The sequence below is a fragment of the Homo sapiens genome, chromosome 1 (assembly GCF_000001405.40).
Source record: "Homo sapiens chromosome 1, GRCh38.p14 Primary Assembly".
Classification (NCBI taxonomy): domain Eukaryota; kingdom Metazoa; phylum Chordata; class Mammalia; order Primates; family Hominidae; genus Homo; species Homo sapiens.
In genome coordinates this window covers 234,645,315-234,663,475 of record NC_000001.11, presented here as the reverse complement: position 1 = coordinate 234,663,475, position 18,161 = coordinate 234,645,315, and the positions used below count along the sequence as shown (strand labels likewise).

The 18,161-nt window shown below is 43.6% G+C and overlaps 3 long non-coding RNA genes across 3 annotated transcripts, besides 1 other annotated feature; 1 reads left to right on the top strand and 2 right to left on the bottom strand.

The window, feature by feature from the left end:
* Nucleotides 1-2,551: 2,551 nt before the first annotated feature.
* On the bottom strand, nt 2,552-17,187 carry LOC101927787 (uncharacterized). Its single transcript, NR_125944.1, has 4 exons — nt 16,971-17,187; nt 8,012-8,250; nt 7,243-7,368; nt 2,552-3,342 (listed from the first exon to the last, which is right to left on the bottom strand). It is a non-coding gene; the product is annotated as an uncharacterized LOC101927787 (long non-coding RNA).
* Nucleotides 5,704-6,903: an enhancer, noted in NCBI's record as "P300/CBP strongly-dependent group 1 enhancer chr1:234792319-234793518 (GRCh37/hg19 assembly coordinates)". NCBI's record gives its function as "activates an origin of replication core promoter dependent on BRD2, BRD4, P300/CBP, MED14 and CDK7 cofactors, with strong dependence on P300/CBP, by STARR-seq in HCT116 cells {active_cell/tissue: HCT116}" and the evidence as "EXISTENCE:reporter gene assay evidence [ECO:0000049][PMID:35650434]".
* LOC124904554 (uncharacterized) lies at nt 6,279-12,788 on the top strand. The gene is made up of 2 exons (XR_007066950.1): nt 6,279-6,525; nt 12,546-12,788. It is a non-coding gene; the product is annotated as an uncharacterized LOC124904554 (long non-coding RNA).
* On the bottom strand, nt 14,020-16,416 carry LOC105373207 (uncharacterized). Its single transcript, XR_949286.3, has 3 exons — nt 16,205-16,416; nt 15,504-15,605; nt 14,020-14,774 (listed from the first exon to the last, which is right to left on the bottom strand). It is a non-coding gene; the product is annotated as an uncharacterized LOC105373207 (long non-coding RNA).
* Nucleotides 17,188-18,161: the final 974 nt, after the last annotated feature.

The following is an 18,161-nucleotide window of genomic DNA, read 5'->3' as shown; positions in this document are numbered from 1 at the left end:
AAAAAAGAAGAAGGAAGGAAAGAAAGAAGGTTGGGGCGAGTGAGTGAGCGAGCTAGCGAGTGAGGTGAGTGAGCGAGCGAGGTGAGTGAAGTGAGTGAGTGAGGTGAGGTGAGTGAGCAAGAGAGTGAGGTGAGTGAGCGAGGTGAGTGAGGTGAGTGAGCGAGATGAGTGAGCGAGGTGAGTGAGCGAGGTGAGTGAGTGAGGTGAGGTGAGTGAGTGAGGTGAGTGAGGTGAGTGAATGAGGTGAGTGAGCGAGGTGAGTGAGCGAGGTGAGTGAGCGAGGTGAGTGAGTGAGGTGAGGTGAGTGAGGTGAGTGAATGAGGTGAGTGAGCGAGGTGAGCGAGGTGAGTGAATGAGGTAGGTGAGTGAATGAGATGAGTGAGGTGAGTGAATGAGATGAGTGAGGTGAGTGAGTGAGGTGAGCGAGGTGAGCCAGGTGAGTGAGCGAGGTGAGTGAGTGAGGTAAGTGAGTGAGGGGGGTATGGGAAGGAAGGGAACGGAGCAACATTTTCAAAGTTTACTGTGAAGCAAGAAACAAAAAGTGGCAAAGTGAGCATCTTCACGTAAATCTACATGGAAACATGAACATCTGTCATAGCCAGGATAAATTTAACATGCAGAGAAATATACACGCTAGGATGTTAAAGGCAGCAGGATCCACAGTGTGATTAGAACCATGTTAAAACCAAACACAAATCGATGTAGGAAAAATGATCTGAAGGAAATATTTCCAAAGTGTTAGCCGTGGTGGTCTTTGGGAGGTTTTGAGGAATTTTCTTCTTCTTTTGATGTAACAGAAAGAAGGAGCAGACTTATTTAAAAGAGAAACCTCACTGCAGTAAGATCCCCGCTTTCACAGACCACTCTCAGCAAGGCAGCTGAACCATTCCAAGAGCCTATTTGTCTTGTTCCTTCTCCATTCCAGCTTTTCTCACTTTGTACCAGGTTCCTTCATTCCTGATGGGTGTCTTTACCTTCTAGTACCTTCCTGTCCACTCGTCAGAGGGCTGCTGGACTCATCCACCTCAATTAACGACCACTTCCCACTCTCTCCCACCCTCACCTGGTTCATCCACCTCCTGAATCGCTCCGGCATCCTCCCTGCCACTCCCCAGGCTGGAGTCCACGTCTGGTCCACATCTCTTCCCCGCCTCTCGCCCTCAGAAGGTACAAACCCTCCCATTGTGTACACTGACTTTCACACTTGACTCCCTCCTCTTCCCTCCCTGTGTTCCACAAAACCAGGTGTCCTGCCCTTCTCCTAAGCTGCAACAACTTGCTCTGAATATTTTTACCACAGCCCTTATCACGTTAAACCAAAAATATCTGTTTCTTATGTGTCATATTCCCCCAGTTAGATACTCTCTAAAGACAGAGACCGTGTCTTAACACGGTCGAACCCCCAGTCCCTAACACAATCCCTGGCACAGACTGAATTCTCCATCAACACCGTCTCACTGAATCTGGTTTCTTTGCCAAAAACTTTCCATGGTTCTTCTCTGAAGACCGTCCAAACCTTCAGCCTGACTTTCAGAAACATAGAAAGGCTGGTTTAAACCTAGCTTTGCCACCTTAATGGCCAATGAATGGCACCCGCCCCCAAAATGGGCTCTGCCATAGTGAGTGTTCACCTCTCTGGAGCACACCTCACGCGTGTCCTCCCACTCCTTTTTTATCACCATGGCCAAAACACCCTCTCATCTTCGTGTTTCCTAATTTCACTCTAGTTCTCCCTCAACTCCCAGCTCCAGTGCCATCTCCTCTCGAAGTCCTTCCTTCCACCCCAATCAGCTTCTGCAACCATCCGTGATCCTTTGCTACTTCTGGAACTTCTCATGTGTGTATATCTCACTTTGCTAATTCAATGTAGGTAAGCCCCCCTCCCTGTCCTGCTGCACATGCACTTGGACCTAGGAGCTCCCCAGTAAGAGCTGCTGACTGGCTGATGTAGGTCATGTGCTGCCGTGGAGGTGACTGTGCTGGGTGTGCCAGTTTTGGTTACCGGGCTGTGGATGCGTGTCTCACACAGGCCGCACCTTGAAGGGAGGGCCCCTGAACCTAAGCAGGAGAGGTTCAGTCATCCCAGTCCTCCCCCAGCTGCTCTGCCTCTGCTTCCTGATCGCCTGCCACAGGGCACTGGGTGGACTGCCAGAAAGACCCTGCCACAGCTCGCCCAGGAACCAGGACAGACCCCGGTGGACGAAGGGCCCCGCACCTTGCAGCCAGCGTCCTGGTGCTCAGAACAATCCAGGCATCTTACAGAACACCATGGTTTGCTCAATCTGTAGGCAAATAGTTACTGTCCATGGGAAAGTATTAGGAACCAGAAAATCATGTTTGTTTTCCTTCTCATTATAAACTTTCAATGGCTCCCCTCTGAATACCATCTAAAGCAGTAAGTAACCTGGTATTTGAGACCTTACACATTTTTATTCAAATCTGTCTTTCATTAATGGGATACTGGCCAAGGCCACCCAGCCTGTACCTTTTACTCATTTATAAAGAAATGGAAAATTCCTTACTGAATGAGTGAATGAATAAATGCATGCAATGGTGGTTGTCTTACACTTTATATAACACGTCCTCTGGATTTACTAATAAAAAATGCTGTAGGCCTCTTCCAGCGGCTTTCCCTCATCCTGGTCTGCATTGCAGGGGCTGTGGCTGCAGCCAACACTGAAGACTGCACGGCACCTGAGGAGACCAACATCTTGTCTTTCAGAGACGAGGGTGATGTCATGAGTCACTTCTTGGTCTTTCCCCTCTCTCTGCGCATGTGGTGTCAGCCGTGGTGCCTGCCAACCCGAAGACAGGACTTGCTACATACGTCAGCAGTGGAAGAGAGCCGAGTTACCCCGAGTTACCAATGGCGAATCCCTATGGGTCCACAGCAACTTCAGTCCTTGCCTCCTCAGAAGAAAGAATTCGACTGAGGGGCGTTAAGGCAGAAAAAGAGAGCAAGTTTCAGAGCAGGAGTGGAAGTTTAGTTAAAAGGCTTTAGAACAGGAAAGAAAGCAAAATTCGCTTGAAAGAGACCCAAGCAGGCGCCTGAAGGTCCAAGAGAGAAAAGAGAGCACAAGAAGACAGTAAAAAAGAGGGTCTTTAACCTTGATCCTGGGACTTCATAGGCTTGCCTCTTTCCCAGGATTCTTCCCTTACAGGGTGGGTTTCCCGCATGCGCAGTGCTCGCCATACCGTTTGGAATGGAGCATGCGCAGTGTGTTTAGGGAGGTCCACGCAGGCCCCTCAGGCTTTCTTCCCTTTTCTGGTGGAGTGGTCATCAAACGTCATCATTTTTTGTCTCTTAACACGCATGCCCAGGAAGTTGCTTCTCCCTGGAGCCTGCATTCGATTAACAGTTTGATGTTAACAGGTGCGGACCATCAGGAAATGGTCTCTTCTGGTGCGGTGGAATTGTCATTTTTAGAGAAGCGATGCGATCATTGCCGAATCATCACCCGAGATTTCTAGTGGGTGATGGAGAGACCTCTCTTCTGCCCCTTTCATGCCTAACTACCTGTAATACATAGAGGGGGCTTGGCTGGGACTTTGGAGTGAATTCAGGGAAGCTGGCCGTGCACAGCTCGGTAGACCACTGAGGATGAGACTTGAGGGTCTCTGGGCCTGCCGGCGGCCCATTGTGGGCAGATCAGTGCGAGGGATCCTCACACTCCGGCTATTACAAAGCTGGACCTTTACCTCTGCTTAAGCAGAAAGAGGCCTGAGCGGGTGACTCATTCTCACTCATCAGAGCATCCGCAGGGCTCCAGCCCTGCCCCAACCTCCCTGTGTCTACTGGGACAGCCTCAAGGCCAAGGGAAGGAACTAAGAGGAAAAAACTCTAGTTTTAAAAACTGAACAGAATTGAGGAGGAGCCTCCTCAGGACCGGTTCTTTCCTCCCCCACTGGCCTCTCTCACCTGCCACCATCAACTTTTAGTCCCTTGAAATGTTCAAGCTGTTTGTCATTCCCTGGGAGCAGCTAGTCCACTGAGCTTCTGCATTTGGGGCTGAGTGACAAGAAATCAAAGGGACGAAATGGGCCAACTCCCTAATCTTACCTCCCTGCATTAAAGTGGAGAATATATGGGAGTAAATAAATGGAAAATACACAGTCAGTTCTTTACCATCACAGTCAATAAGGCAGAATCACTCCAGGAGGAAATGCGGTCTGGGGGACTTCCTTCATCTGAGACACCTAACCTGGGGACAGCTCGGCTCTGTGTCCCACCTCTGCCACCACAGACTCTCTGCCCACTCACTTCTCTGTATTCCCCAAGATCTGGGGTGCTTCATTTGGGTTCCTGGAGAAAGGAGAAATATTTTCTACCTAGAGTGAATATATCTGGTGTCCTTCCAAATAGCTGCAGCCCATGCATTTTTAATAAGAAGGAAGCCCTGATGAATGTCACAAAGCCAATAAATGTGGCCACCACCACGGTGGAGATGTCGTTATACAGCTGTAAAGTGCCTGCAATGTGCAGGGCAGAGCAGAGATTAGACATGTTGCCCACCCAGTGGGCTGATGATCAAAGTGCCTGTGTGTTTCTGTAGGCATTTCCAGTTCAGTTTACATTTTAGAAGAAAATAAATACACTCAGACAACCATCTCCTGTTCTTCTTCTCCCTACCCTCCACCTTCGATAATGGAATAAACTTTTCCCTTCCCCCTCCCTTTTATACTAAAACAGTTCCTTGGAGGTATCAGTGGGGCTGCTTAGGGGCAAAGGCCGCGGATCCCAACTCTGCACCTAGAAACTGGCTGATCCTTGTGACCCGGTCAACTGGGACCCAGTTGCAGCCAAACCTCTCTTCACTCGCCAGCAAGACCTGCAATTGCTCAGTTTCATCCCAGATCCCAGTGGTTCTAGCTAGACTCAGGCCAAAGACTACTTGGGCCTTGTGATGAAAGGCCTTTGGGAAATTAGCACTTTTCCACTGGATTATTGGAGCTGCAGCAACTTGCCTACCTCTGGGATTCTGTTCAGTGCCTGACATCCTGAAGGTTTGCCTGGGCTCCTCCCAGCCCTAGTCTAATCCTGAATGAGCTGGCACTGGCTGGGCAGCCTGGCCTCACCTGGGATCCCTGTTTGGCTTGGCCTTTGTCAAGGAGGCCAGGAGCCTGAGGAACTAGAGGATTAAGCAACAGCTTCCCAGGGGCGAATTCCTGCCTAGCGCCTGGTATCTGGTTTCTGAGCCAAGCAAGGGTGGCTCTGTTTCTGCTGATTCCTCATCGTGGTTGCATGCTACATCCTGATTCTCTATTCCTGCCTGGATATTCCTCCCCAGAAGGAATTAAGTCAAGGGCCCTGAGAGCTGCAGGCCCAGATGTAGCTCTTATATGCAAACACTTCCACTTCTGAATTCTCAGAAGTTACTAAGACCCCTTAGAGCCATGCTGGGGTCCTGTTAGCTCTTCCTCTGGGCCCAACTTAATTGACTTGGCCCGGTGTTATTTTAGACACCCGAAATAGGCAAGTGCTTGGTATCAGGGTGGTTTAAATTTCAGAGGGGCATGGCATGGCATGGCATGTTTGAGGCTGGGACTTATAATGCACAGATAAGAGCCTTCTTTGTTGCTCTAACAGTTTTGCTCATCTTTACCCACCATGTCTCAGATCACCCTGTGGGTGTTGGAGAGTTATGTCTGATTGTTTTTGCACACAGGTTGGAAATGTATGAAAGATAGACTGAATTTCTTGCCTCCTTCCCTAGAGCAAACCTAATAGCTCAGACTACAGCAAGCTGCTGATGTTCTATCTCTGTGAACTAGGAGGTGATAAGCTGAGGAATGCCTGCTCCTATCCCCATTTTTACCTGAGATCCCAGAAACTGGCATGCCCCGTACGCCCTGGGTTTGCCAGGTACAAACCTGTTTAAGCCTGTCCTGTTATACACATGAAAACACCCCCTGCTGTTCTCGAAAGTGAAAGCTGGACAATGAATTATGGAGTTGCCCTGTGTATAGAGGACATCCCATTCATTCTAGCTGTGTTCTTTCCAGACTACAGAGAGCATGTTATGGCTGGGGAAGTTAGGGCTGAGAAAGGGAAGTGACTTGTCTACACTCACATAGTGAGTCAGTAGCAGAACCGTTTAAGAGAATCCAGGGGCTTTGACTAATGTGCTACTCACTCCTGACACCACCCTGGTAAAGGGAGTAGAAAGGACAGGAATAGGTCAGTTGACAACATGTGGTGGAGGAGAGAAGCCTGCGTGCCTATGCATGTGAAATGACGTTAGAAGGCTTCCAAAAGGGCGGGTGCAAAATAATATTGCACAGTGCAATTGATCCTTAGTGGGAGCTCAGGAGCTGTTGGTTGATGAGTGAGTTGATAAGCTACAAGTGCCCACAGGGAGAAGGGAAACATCAAGCAGGATGACCAGGGGGTGCTGCAGAGAGGAAGCAGTGAACTGCCCGCAGCTGGCTGAGCCTGAGCCTGTGATGGGGCCAAGGGTGTGCTGGCACCGTATGGGCGGAAGGACCCGGGCTACCTCTAAGTCTACTGAGGCGTTATTTACCAAGGTGAGGGTTGAGCTGGATTCCGAAAAGGAAATCTGGTAAGGAGAAAGAGGCGAGCCCAGCGTGAAGGAAGGAGGTGTAGGGAGAGTGGGCAGACGAGACGGCCTGGGGCAGAGGGAGATGGAAGAAAAGAAACAAAGAATGTCTGCCCAGCATCCTCATTTTTTTGGTTTTCCGGGAAAATGGTGAAACTCTTGCAAGTGGCGATTACAGAGGGCGGGAGTAGGAGAGAAACCACAGTGATTTTTTTTTTCAGGACCGAAAAAATGTTTTCCCCAAACTAAACAAAGTCAGATTGAGAAATGCAACGTAGTACCTTAGGGACCTGGTGGCTCATTGCTACGTCTTGCCACAGGCGCCGGCCTCAGATGCTCATGGCCGCCTGGGGAGGGGAGGAGGACCCTTAAACTTTTCAAGATCCAAACAGTCATGGTTCTCTTTTTGCAAAATAGTTTTTGTCAGCCTCTTGTAGATAGTGGTGGTCGCACCTTTTGTGAACCACAGCACGACATGTGCCTGGATGCCTCTTCCCCACCTGTTACCTGCCCAGGGAGCCTCACCTGCCTCTTATAGGACAGCTTCATAGCCTGTGACTTCAGTGTGGTCCTCTTACACGGAAAGCCCCCAGTGATGGCTGGTGTTGTTACCTAAAAGGTCATTTCCCTCAGATGACACCAGTGCTTTAGGATCATCAAAGAAACAAAGGAATCTTATACTTACAAGATGAAACTCTGCCTTCAAAAAGGGAGATGCGGCCAAATTCTTCAGGAAAAACCGGAGCTGGGGCCTGGGTGGTCTTGCTGGTATTCCTTCTTTTGTGATTAAATGAAGCCATTCATTTCAGAGCTGCCTTAAAAAATGTAGGAGTCATTCAACCTTCTTCAGCAAATTATACTGATTTTAAATGAACAAAAAAGTCAGCGGCCCTATTCACACACCCCCACCCCTCCCCCATCAGAAATAATGTATCTGATGATGAAAATTACCAACAGCCTGAAAAGAAAAAATCATGGCAACTTCTCAGTTGCACATCGTACTTTCACATTTCTATTTATGTGAAATTCTTATTCTCAACCATCTGATTTTTGTTAACGTTAGGGATCTAGATCTAGTCAGGTCTTGTGCCTGCACACCCCTTTAATTAGCGTGATAACTCAAATTGCTTTCTAATTGAGATGGCTGTGCTTCTGATTCTTATCTGTGGAGCTGGAGGCCTTGGGGCCACCTGCACAGCCCCATTGGCTGAGATTTTATCTGCTAGCACTGCCCTCTCTCCCAGGACTCTGCTGGTCAGGGGCTGAACTCTGAAGCTTCTCCAACCTCAGGTGGAAATCTGAGTTCTTGCCCAGCCCAGAATGCTGGGGGATCTCAGCAGCCTGCCTGGGCACACAAGAGGAGTGGGTGCTGAGCTGGCACAACAATTCTATCCTCCTGTCCTCACCCTGGGATTTCCGATTTGCTGCAGGGTGTGGGAGAACCCAGCTCCCACCTCTGCTAGCTGTGCATAATTACTGAGTGGGGAGGGCATCACTGTCTCAGACAAGAATGAGGGGCTGGCCCACAGTCTCTGCACTTCTCAAGTGGTCTCCGGAGGCACCCGAGGTGGCTGGCTACGATCCTGGGACCTATGTAGTCACTGGTGCCAGTGTCCATGCTGATGACTCTAGCGGCCACCTCTGTCCAGGCAAGGGCTGAATCCCGGCACCAATGTAACTTTTTCCAAGCAGCCTAGATTAGGCAATTGAAAAAAACAAAAACAAATTTTATACTGAGGTAAAGGGACCTTCAGTATAATCCTAGCTTTTATCACATAAATAGAGGTAGGGGGTACCCACCCCACCAAACCAAAAGGATTCATGACACAGTGCAAAGTGCCATGTGCCTTCACAAAGAGAAGGGTCACGTCAATATCAACTCCTACAGCGATTCAACTCTACAGAGACAAATGGTGTTTTAAAAATTCCATTTTATTCATTGGTAGTTTTTCCCTTTTTAACAAAATTGTCTATATTTAAGGCATACAACATGATGTTTTGACATATATATACAGAGTGAAATCGTTACTACAGTCAAGCAAATTAACATATTCATCATCTCGCAGTTATTTTTTGTGTGTGTATGATAAGAACACCTAAAATCTACTCTCTTCACGAATTTCCAGTATACAATATAATATTATTAACTATGCTGTACACCATACCTTTAGATTTATTTATCCTACATTTGCACCCTTTGACCTCTCCCCACTTCTCCCTCTCCCATCCCCAGTAACAGCCATTCTACTGTCTCTTTTCTACTTATTTAACTTCTTTTTTAGATTCCACATATAAGATGAATCACAGTATTTTTCTTTCTGTGGCTGGCTTGTTTCACTTAACATAATGTCCTCCAGGTTCATCCATGTTGTCAAAAATGGCAATATCTACTTTTTAAAGGCTGTGTAATATTCCACTATATGTATATATATGTGCATATGTGTGTGTGTGTGTGTGCATAAAAGCATACTGATTAAGGAAAATGTTCAAGCCATACTGGTCTGTGGTCTGAGTTAGACCATGATTGTATCCTTTCCTTTGGCTGACCTTTACAATCCCTCAATAAGTTGTGCTAACACAGGGAAACTGCTTTTACCAAATCCCTGTGATGAACAATTTCTTTATCCATCCGTCAGTTGATGGACACTTAGGTTGCTTCAATATCTTGGCTATTGTGAATAATACTGCAATGAACATGGGAGAGCAGGTATCTCTGTAAGGTACTGATTTAATTTCCTTTGGGCATATATCCAGCACAGAGATTGCTGAGTCATATGATAGGTAGCTCTATTTTTAGTGTTTTTTTGAGAACCCCCTGCAATTTTTTCCATAATGACTGTCCCGATTTATATTCCTACCAACAGTGTATAAGGGTTCCCTTTTCTCCGCACCCTGTCCAACACTTGTTATCTCTTCTTTTTGGTAATAGTCATCTTGATGGATGTCAGGTGATATCACATTGTGGTTTTGATTTGCATTACTCCGATAATTAGTGATGCTGAGCACCTTTTCATACACCTGCTGGCCATTTTTATGTCTTCGTTGGAGAAATGTCTGTTCAGGTGCTTTGCCCATGTTTTAACTGGGTTATCTGTTCTTGTTGTTGCTTTTGAGTTGTGTGAGTTCCTATATATTTTGTATATTAACCCTGTATCAAATATCATGTTGGTGCAAAAGGAATTGTGGCTTTTGCCATTAAAAGTAATGGCAGAAACTGCCATTAATGCCATTAAAAGTAATGGCAAAAACAGCAATTACTAATATATGGTACACAAATATTCTCTCACAATCCATAGGCTCTATTCTTTTCATTTTGTTGATTGTTTTCCTTGCTGTGTGGAAAATTTTTAATTTGATATAGTCCCACTTATTTATTTTTGCTTTTGTTGCCTGAGGTTTTGATGTAATATTTAAAAAAAAGTCATTGCCAAGGCCAATGCCAAGGAGCTTTCCCCCTGTTTTCTTCTAGGAGTTTCATGGTTTCAGGTCTTAACTTACATCTTAATCTATTTTAAGTTGATTTTTGTGTCTGTTGTAAGATAAGGTCTAACTTCATTCATTTTCATGTGGATATCTTGCATTCCCAACACGATTTACTAAAGAGACTGATTTCTCCATTGTACCTTCTTGGTGCTCTTGTCAAAAATTAGTTGATTGTATATGTTTGGGTTTATTTCTGGACTGTCTATTCTGTTCTGTTGGTTCATGTGTCTGTTTTTATGTCAATACCATACTGTTTTGATTACTATAGATTTGTAGTAAAATTTAAAAATCACCAAGTATGATGACTTCAACTTTGTTTTTCTTTCTTAATAACTTTGGCTATTGGGGTCTTCTGTGATTCCATACAGATTTTAGAACTGATTTCTCTAGTTCTGTAAAAAATGTAATTGGAATATTGACAAGGATGGCTTTGAATCTTCATACTGCTTTGTGTACTATGAACATTTTAACAATATTAATTCTTTCTGTCCATGAATATGGGATCTCTTTCCATTATTTGTGTCATCTTAAACTTCTTTTATCAATGTTTTATAATTTTTAGTGTACAGGTCTTTCAGCTACTTGGTTAAATTTATTCCTAATTATTTTATTCTTTTTAATGTTATTAATGAAATTGTTTTCTTTATTTTTTGGATAAGTCATTATTGTTGTGAAGAAAGGTACTGATTTTTGTATGTTGATTTTGTATTCTCCAACTTTACTGAATTCGTTTATTAGTTTAAACAGGTTTTTTTTGTGTGTTTGAAGTTGTTAGGGTTTTCTACATATAGGATCATGTCACCGATAAAAAGGGATAATTTTACTTCTTTTCTGATTTAGATGCCCTTCATATTTTTTTCTTATCTGACTGCTCTGGGTAGTACTTTCAATACTATGTTGAATAGAAGTGGCAAGAATGGGCATCCCTGCCTTGTACTGGATCTTAGAGGAAAAGCTTTCCATTTTTCCCACTGCTTATGTTGCTATCTCTAGGATTTTCATAAACAGCCTTTATTATGTTGAGGAAATTTCCTTCTATACCTAAAGCGTTGAGACTTTTTAATCAAGAAAGAATGTTGAACATTGTCAAATGCTTTTTCTGCATCTATTGAGGAGAAAATGAATAATCTTGAAGAACACTTTGTGAAAGTGACTTACAGAGTGGTTGCGCCTAGAGCACTGACCCATAAATGATCAAGTGCTGGCCGGGTGCTGTGGCTCATGCCTGTAATTCTAGCATTTTGAGAGGCCAAGGCAGGCAGATCACCTAAGGTCAGCAGTTTGAGACCAGCCTGGCTAAGATGGCAAAACTCTGTCTCTACTAAAATTACAAAAAAAATTAGATGGGCATGGTGGCAGGCACCTGTAATCCCAGCAACTTGGGAGGCCAAGGCAGGAGAATTGCTTGAACCCGGGAGTCAGAGGCTGCAGTGAGTCGAGATCGTGCTATCGCAATTGCACTCCAGCCTGCGCAACAGAGCGAGACTCTGTCTCAAAAAAAAAAAAACAAAAACAAAACAAGTGGGCAAGAATTGCCAAATATGCATAAGGAAAATTATCTCAGAGAGGCTGGGGGTGGGGGTGAGTGGACAGATCAGCTTAGCCTCTAAGGTAGGGCATGTATATGCTTGTAGTAAGAAGTTATATAAAGGGCCTTCTCTTTATAGGAACAGTAGCTTCTGCCCTAATCCTAGGTCATTGTCATCATCTACCCAAAGGGGTAGGCAGTAGACACTTGATGAGGGTGGAACAGGTGAAAGTAGTAAAGGCTGCTTGTAAGAGGTGAAAAGAAGGGCTATTCAACAAACGGTGTTGGAACCAGTGGCTAGCCACTTAAAAAAATAAATTAAGCTCATTCTTACCACACTCTTTCCCCCAATAAATTCCATGTGTATAAAAAATTTAAAGGTAAAATTTGAAACCATAAGGTTTAAAAAATCATGGGTGTGTTTATTGATCATCTCTGTCTAGCAAAGTCCTTTCTAGTGTAGAAGCCACAGATTTAAAAAATTATAAATTTAATGCCATAAAAGTATACATCCTTTTGTATGACAAAATTACCTTTAAAAATGTGACAATCAGGGCAAATACTTGCAACATATATGAGAAACACAGGGTTAATTTTCTTAAATTATAAAAAGCTGGTACAAACCAATAAAGAAAAGCTGGCACGAATCAATAAATTAAAAATTGGGCAAAGAATATGAATGGGCAGCTTATAAGGAAAGTCACACAAATGTGTGATAAGCACACTTACTTGAAATTAAGAATGCATATCCAAATCATAACAGGATGCCATTGTTCACCTAATTGGCAAAAATTATAAAGTGTTCACCTAATTGGCAAAAATAATTAGTGCCTGTGAAGATATGTGGAGAAAGGAACTCATAAATATTGTTATGGGGACTGTTAACTGGTGGTCATGTTGCTAATATTAATAGACTCATCTGAGAGCAATTTAACAATAGCAATTGTAATTTTCAATGTATGTTCCCTTTGATCCAGGAATTCCACTGCTTGAATTTAGATTACTACTACCTTGACAAAATTATACCAAAACACATCCCAGCACTTTGGGAGATGGAGGCGGGAAGATCACCAGGTCAGGAGATCGAGACCATCCCGGCTAACACGGTGAAACCCCGTCTCTACTAAAAATACAAAAAATTAGCCGGGAAACACTTGCTACTGTTTTAGACCACTACGTTTGGGGGTGATTTGTTATGTAGCAATAAATAATAGAAATAACCATGATCCCAAATTTTTGTGCACATTCGTGTGTGTGTGTGTGTGCGTGTGTGTGGTGTTGTGTACACAATTGGCCCTTGAACAACATGGGCTTGAACTGTGCAGGTCCACTATGCACAGATTTTCTTCTACCTCTGCTACCCCTGAGACAGCAAGACCAATCCCTCCTCTTCCTCCCCACTGCTCAGCCTACTCAACATGAACACAATGAGGATGAGGACCTTTAGGATGATGCACTACCACTTGACACATGGTAAGTAGATTTTCTCTTCTTTATGATTTTCTTAATAACATTTTCTTTTCTCTGGCTTACTTTTTTCTAAGAATACAGAATCTAAGACATATAACATATAAAATAGGTGTTGCTTGACTGTGTTATTGGCAAGGCTTCTGATCAACAATAGGCTTTTGGTAGTTATGTTTTAGGGGAGTCAAGAGTTATATGCAGATTTTCAACTGTGTTGGGGGATCGGTGCCCCTAACCCTCATGTTGCTCTAGAGTCAGCTGTACATGTATATGCGTACACACACACACACACATACACACACACAATATTTTTATATATGCAAATGTACATCCACATTTGCTGTGTTTTGCATAATTTTGAGGCAATAGAGAACAGAAGGAACTGCTGAGAATGGTTATTTTTGAGTGGTGGACTGGAAGGCAGGGAAGCTGTGATAGTTAATTTTAGGTCTTAACTGGATTAAGGAATACCTAGAGAGCTGGTAAAGCCTCAAATCTGGGTGTGTCTGTGAGGGTGTTTCCAGAGGAGACTGGCATGTGAGTCAGTGGACCGAGTGGGAAAGATCTGCCCTCAATGTAGGCGGGCACCATCCAATCAGCTGGGGGCCCACATAGAACAACAAGGCAGAGGAAAGGAGAAATCTTTCTTTCTTTCTCCTGGACCTGGGACACCCTGTTTCTGTTGCCCTTGGATATCAGAACTCCAGGCTTTTCAGCCTTTAGACTCCAGGACACCCTGGGTTCTCAGGCCTTTGGCCTCAGACTCAGAGTTGCACCATTGGCTTCTCTGGTTCTGAGGCTTTTGGACTGAGCCATACTGCAGGCATGCAGTTTGTGGGCGGCTTGTCATGGGACTTCTCTGCCTCCATAATCATATGAGCCAATTCCCCTAATAATCCTCTCTTTATCTATCTATCTATCTATCTATCTATCATCTATCTATCTATCTATCTATCATCTATCCATCCATCCATCTATCCATCCATCTATCTCCTATTGGTCTTGTCTCTCTGGAGAACTCTGACTAATACTAAGATCATCTTTGTTAGAAATGGAATGTTAATGCTCTGTCGTTGCCTGTATGATCTATAATTTTTTTCTTGTGTATCTTTTAAAATCTTTACCTGGCTTGGGAGGAAACCATCCTTTTTTCTGCTCATATTAGCTTTTCTAGAGTCTGGAAGCACGTAGTTTCTGCACAGTACCAACCTGGACTGAACAACAGTAATATGCTTAACATTATCCAAAACTGATTCTTGTTATCAATTGTGCAGTCCTTGGAGTCATATTTGAAGGTCCACATCCTGGCTCCATCATTTCCATCCTCTCTAAACCTCAGTTTCCTCTTCTGTAAAATGCAAATAATACCTGTACCTACCTATATTTGTTATCTATTGCTGTATGATAAATTATCCCAAAACTTAGCAGCTTGAACCAGTAAACATGTATTAGCCACAACTTCTGTGGGTTATGAAGCCAAGCACGACTCAGCCAGGAGCTTGTGGCTCAAAGTATCTCATGAGGTTGCAGTCCAACTACTGTCTGAGGCTACAGTCCCATCTGAAGGTGTGACTGGGGCAGGATCTTCTTCCAAGTCCATGCACGTGGTTGCCAACAGGATTGCATCCAATGGAGTCGGTTGGACTGAGGGTTCCACTTTCTCCCTGGCTGTTGGCTGGGGGTCTCCCTCAGTGCTTTGTCATATAGACCTCTCTACAGGGTGGCTCATGGCATGGCAGCTGGAGCACCAAAGACAGAAGCCACAGACTTTTTACAATCTGATCTTGAAGGGGACATCCTATTATTTTGACATACTCTACTCATTCAAGACAAGTATATGAATCCAGTCCACACTCAAGGAGAAGAGATTATACAAGGAAGTGAATGCTAGGAGGTGAGGATCAACAGGGGTCATCGCAGAGACAGCCTACCACAAGACCTCATAGAGTGGCTGTGAGCATTAAATGAATTAATGTCAGTGTTTAAAACATAGTATTGCTCAACAAATAGAAGGTCTTATTAATATTATAGATATCCGTCCATGTTTAACATTAAATACCAAATGTTCTCTTTTTTTTTTGAGACAGAGTCTTGCTCTGTCACCCAGGCTAGAGTGCAGTGGTGTGATCTCTGCTCACCACAACCTCCACCTCCTGGGCTCAAGTGATTCTCCTGTCTCAGCCTCCCGAGTAGCTGGGACTATAGGCGCACACCACCACGCCTGGCTAATTTTTGTATTTTTAGTAGAGACAGGGTTTTGCCATGTTGGCCAGGCTGGTCTTGAACTCCTGACCTCAAGAGATCCACCTGGCTCGGCCTCCCAAGGTGTTGGGATTACAGGCATGAGTCACCTTAAGTGCTCTTTTTCTGCAACTAATTTGTGTGAGATTTCAGAGAGGCCCTTTGGCCAGAAATGTACTAATTTATCCACCTAGGTGTTTTCTCAGATTCCCCAGGGCAACACTGACTTAGGAGCGGCTCCTGCCAAGCAGTGATGTGGGCTGGGCCTGTCATGGCTTTGGGCCCTCTCAGTACAGCTCATCAAGCAGTCATCAAGTCTGTATTAGTGCCTGTAACAAGAAGGAACCCAGGTAGTAACTGAGGACCCAGCAGTGAACCAGGCATGTGTAATTTCTGCCTTTACAGGGCATGCAAGTTACTGGAGGGGGTTCAGACAGAGAAAAGACAACTTCAGCTATTCCTGGGTGCTCTTAAATACTGATACCCAGAAAGGCATAAACCTAAATGATTACTCTTCTCTTACTACCTCAATATTTGAGGGTAAATGAGGAGGTTTATTATTGTTAATTATTTAATTTCAGAAATATATAATTTATTTAATTAAAATCTATTTAATACCTAAAATGTTACATTTATGAAATTTACTAACACCAAGTATGCCCTCACTCTGGTGGAGGCAGGAAACTAAACTGCTTGCCACCGTCATGACATCAGGTTCACAATGTGGTGCTACTCTGGTTTCCTAGGAGACTTAGCCCTGGCACAGGCACACAGCTGGACACATGCAAATAATCGCTATCCTCGCCAGGTGTTCAGCTGCTCTTCCTACAAGCATCTCTACAGTCTCAAAAAGTATATATTCATGCATTCAACAACTATTTTATGAACAATAAGCAAATGCTATATTGGGGTGCTCTTTGGATCCCACCTATTTCCAAATTTCCAAGACTGCATTCTCCCCATTCATTGTCCTCCAACACAGCTTTCGAGACCATGAATTGGGGTCTTCCGCTCATAGGCATGCCCAGCACAGCATAAGGTAGAGAGCAGAACAGGAGTCATCAGAGTGGACTCTGAATCAATCACAGAGACAACAGCAATAAGCCACAAATACTCAACAAGCAGGGAAAAGGGGCAAGGGAGTACAGTTATAAAGCGCAAAAGTTCTCCAAACATTTTAAACATTTTCTTCTCACTCTTACGATTCCCACTTTCTGTGTAGGAAAACAAAGAAAAAGAAATGACTTGTATGAGGCACATCCTCCAGAATGAGTTGACCCAGAGTCTTTATGGAATGAGAAGGGAGAGAATTCATAATTAAATAAACAGCAAACAAACCTCAGGACAAAGTTACCCCTTATCTTACCTAAACTCTACAGTATTGTAATTTACTCAGTCAATCAATAAGTATTTTTTAGCATCTACTCTATACCAGGTACTATTCTAAGCTCAAGTTTTATCATGGTGCTCCAGTTTTCTCCTTGTAGTATTTACATTCAATAAACACTTATTTCTAAACCTACTGGCGTGCAGAGCTATAATCTGTAACCTATCGTACACTTCTGAAAAATATTAACAGAACCTTAGTTGGCAAGATCAAGAACTCATTAAAAATGGGGTTTAGAGAATAAAAATTTAAAATGATACTATGTTTGAGTAATTACACATATATATGTAAAAATATATACACAAACCAAATATTCAGGAAGATACCAATTCTGAAACAAGCTCTGTCTATATTAAAGAACTCCTCCGCTGGAAATGTTTTCTCCGTAATCTCCTTCAGATATTTAGTATATATCTGTGATATCATGATTTTCTAGGGCATATTCTCCAACAAATGTCATGTTACATAAGCTATGTGTTCTTTCATGTTTAGAAACTAGCCCTTACTGTGAAGTATAACATCTTCTTGCACTCACATCCTCCCTTGTTTTATTTGTGCAAATCTCAGCAAAATCTTGTGTAACTGTATTAGTCAGCTTCACTGCATAACAAACAATCCCCCAAAATCTCAGTTGTTACGTCATCAATGTATTTCTTGCTCATGATACACGTAGGCTATGAGTCTGCTATGGCTCTGTCCCATGTGTTTTCTCATCCCAGGATGCAGCTGAAGGAGCAGCTCCTATCTGGAAAATGCTTTTCTCTTGGAACAGGGCAGAAGAGCAAGAGACCAAGTGGAACCACATGATCACATTTAAAGCTTCTGCTCCTAAGTGGCATATACCTTGTCTACTCATACGTCATTGGCCAATGAAAATCACATGAGCAAGCCTGATAGGGACAGGGAAGTACACTTACTTATAAGGGGTCTAAGGCAGGGATATATAACCCTTTTAAAGGAGAAAGGACAAATAATTGCAAACAATGCCGTAATCTACTACAGTAACCACTTGGCAACTTCCCAAAATATTGAGGAACTTAAGGGCACATTTTTTTTTCTGGATCTACATTTCTATCCATTCATTGAAGGGTAGAACACAGGCAGTTCCTCAATCCTGGCATGCATAACCTACAGGAAAGGAAAGTCATCACTGTGAAGGATATTGAACTGAGCCCAACATCTGCTAAAAGATCACAGATTTTGAAATTTTAAAAAACAAATGCTGAACCTCATTATTACAACACTAGGGTTAACAAAGGATTGCCATAGTTTACTCAGCATTATCCTGGCAACTTCATTTCACTAGTGTCCAATTTTGTTTTTAGTTTCCTGGGATTCAAAACCAAAAGAAGGGAAAGGAGTGGCAAACATTCATGGTAACACTCGTATAATGCTCTAAAATTTATTTAAATAGCACTTCCACATTCACAGTAATTGCAGAAGTGATGAACACAGTTAAGAAGGACATGCTCTCCTTGGGGAATTAGAAGTAGGAGAG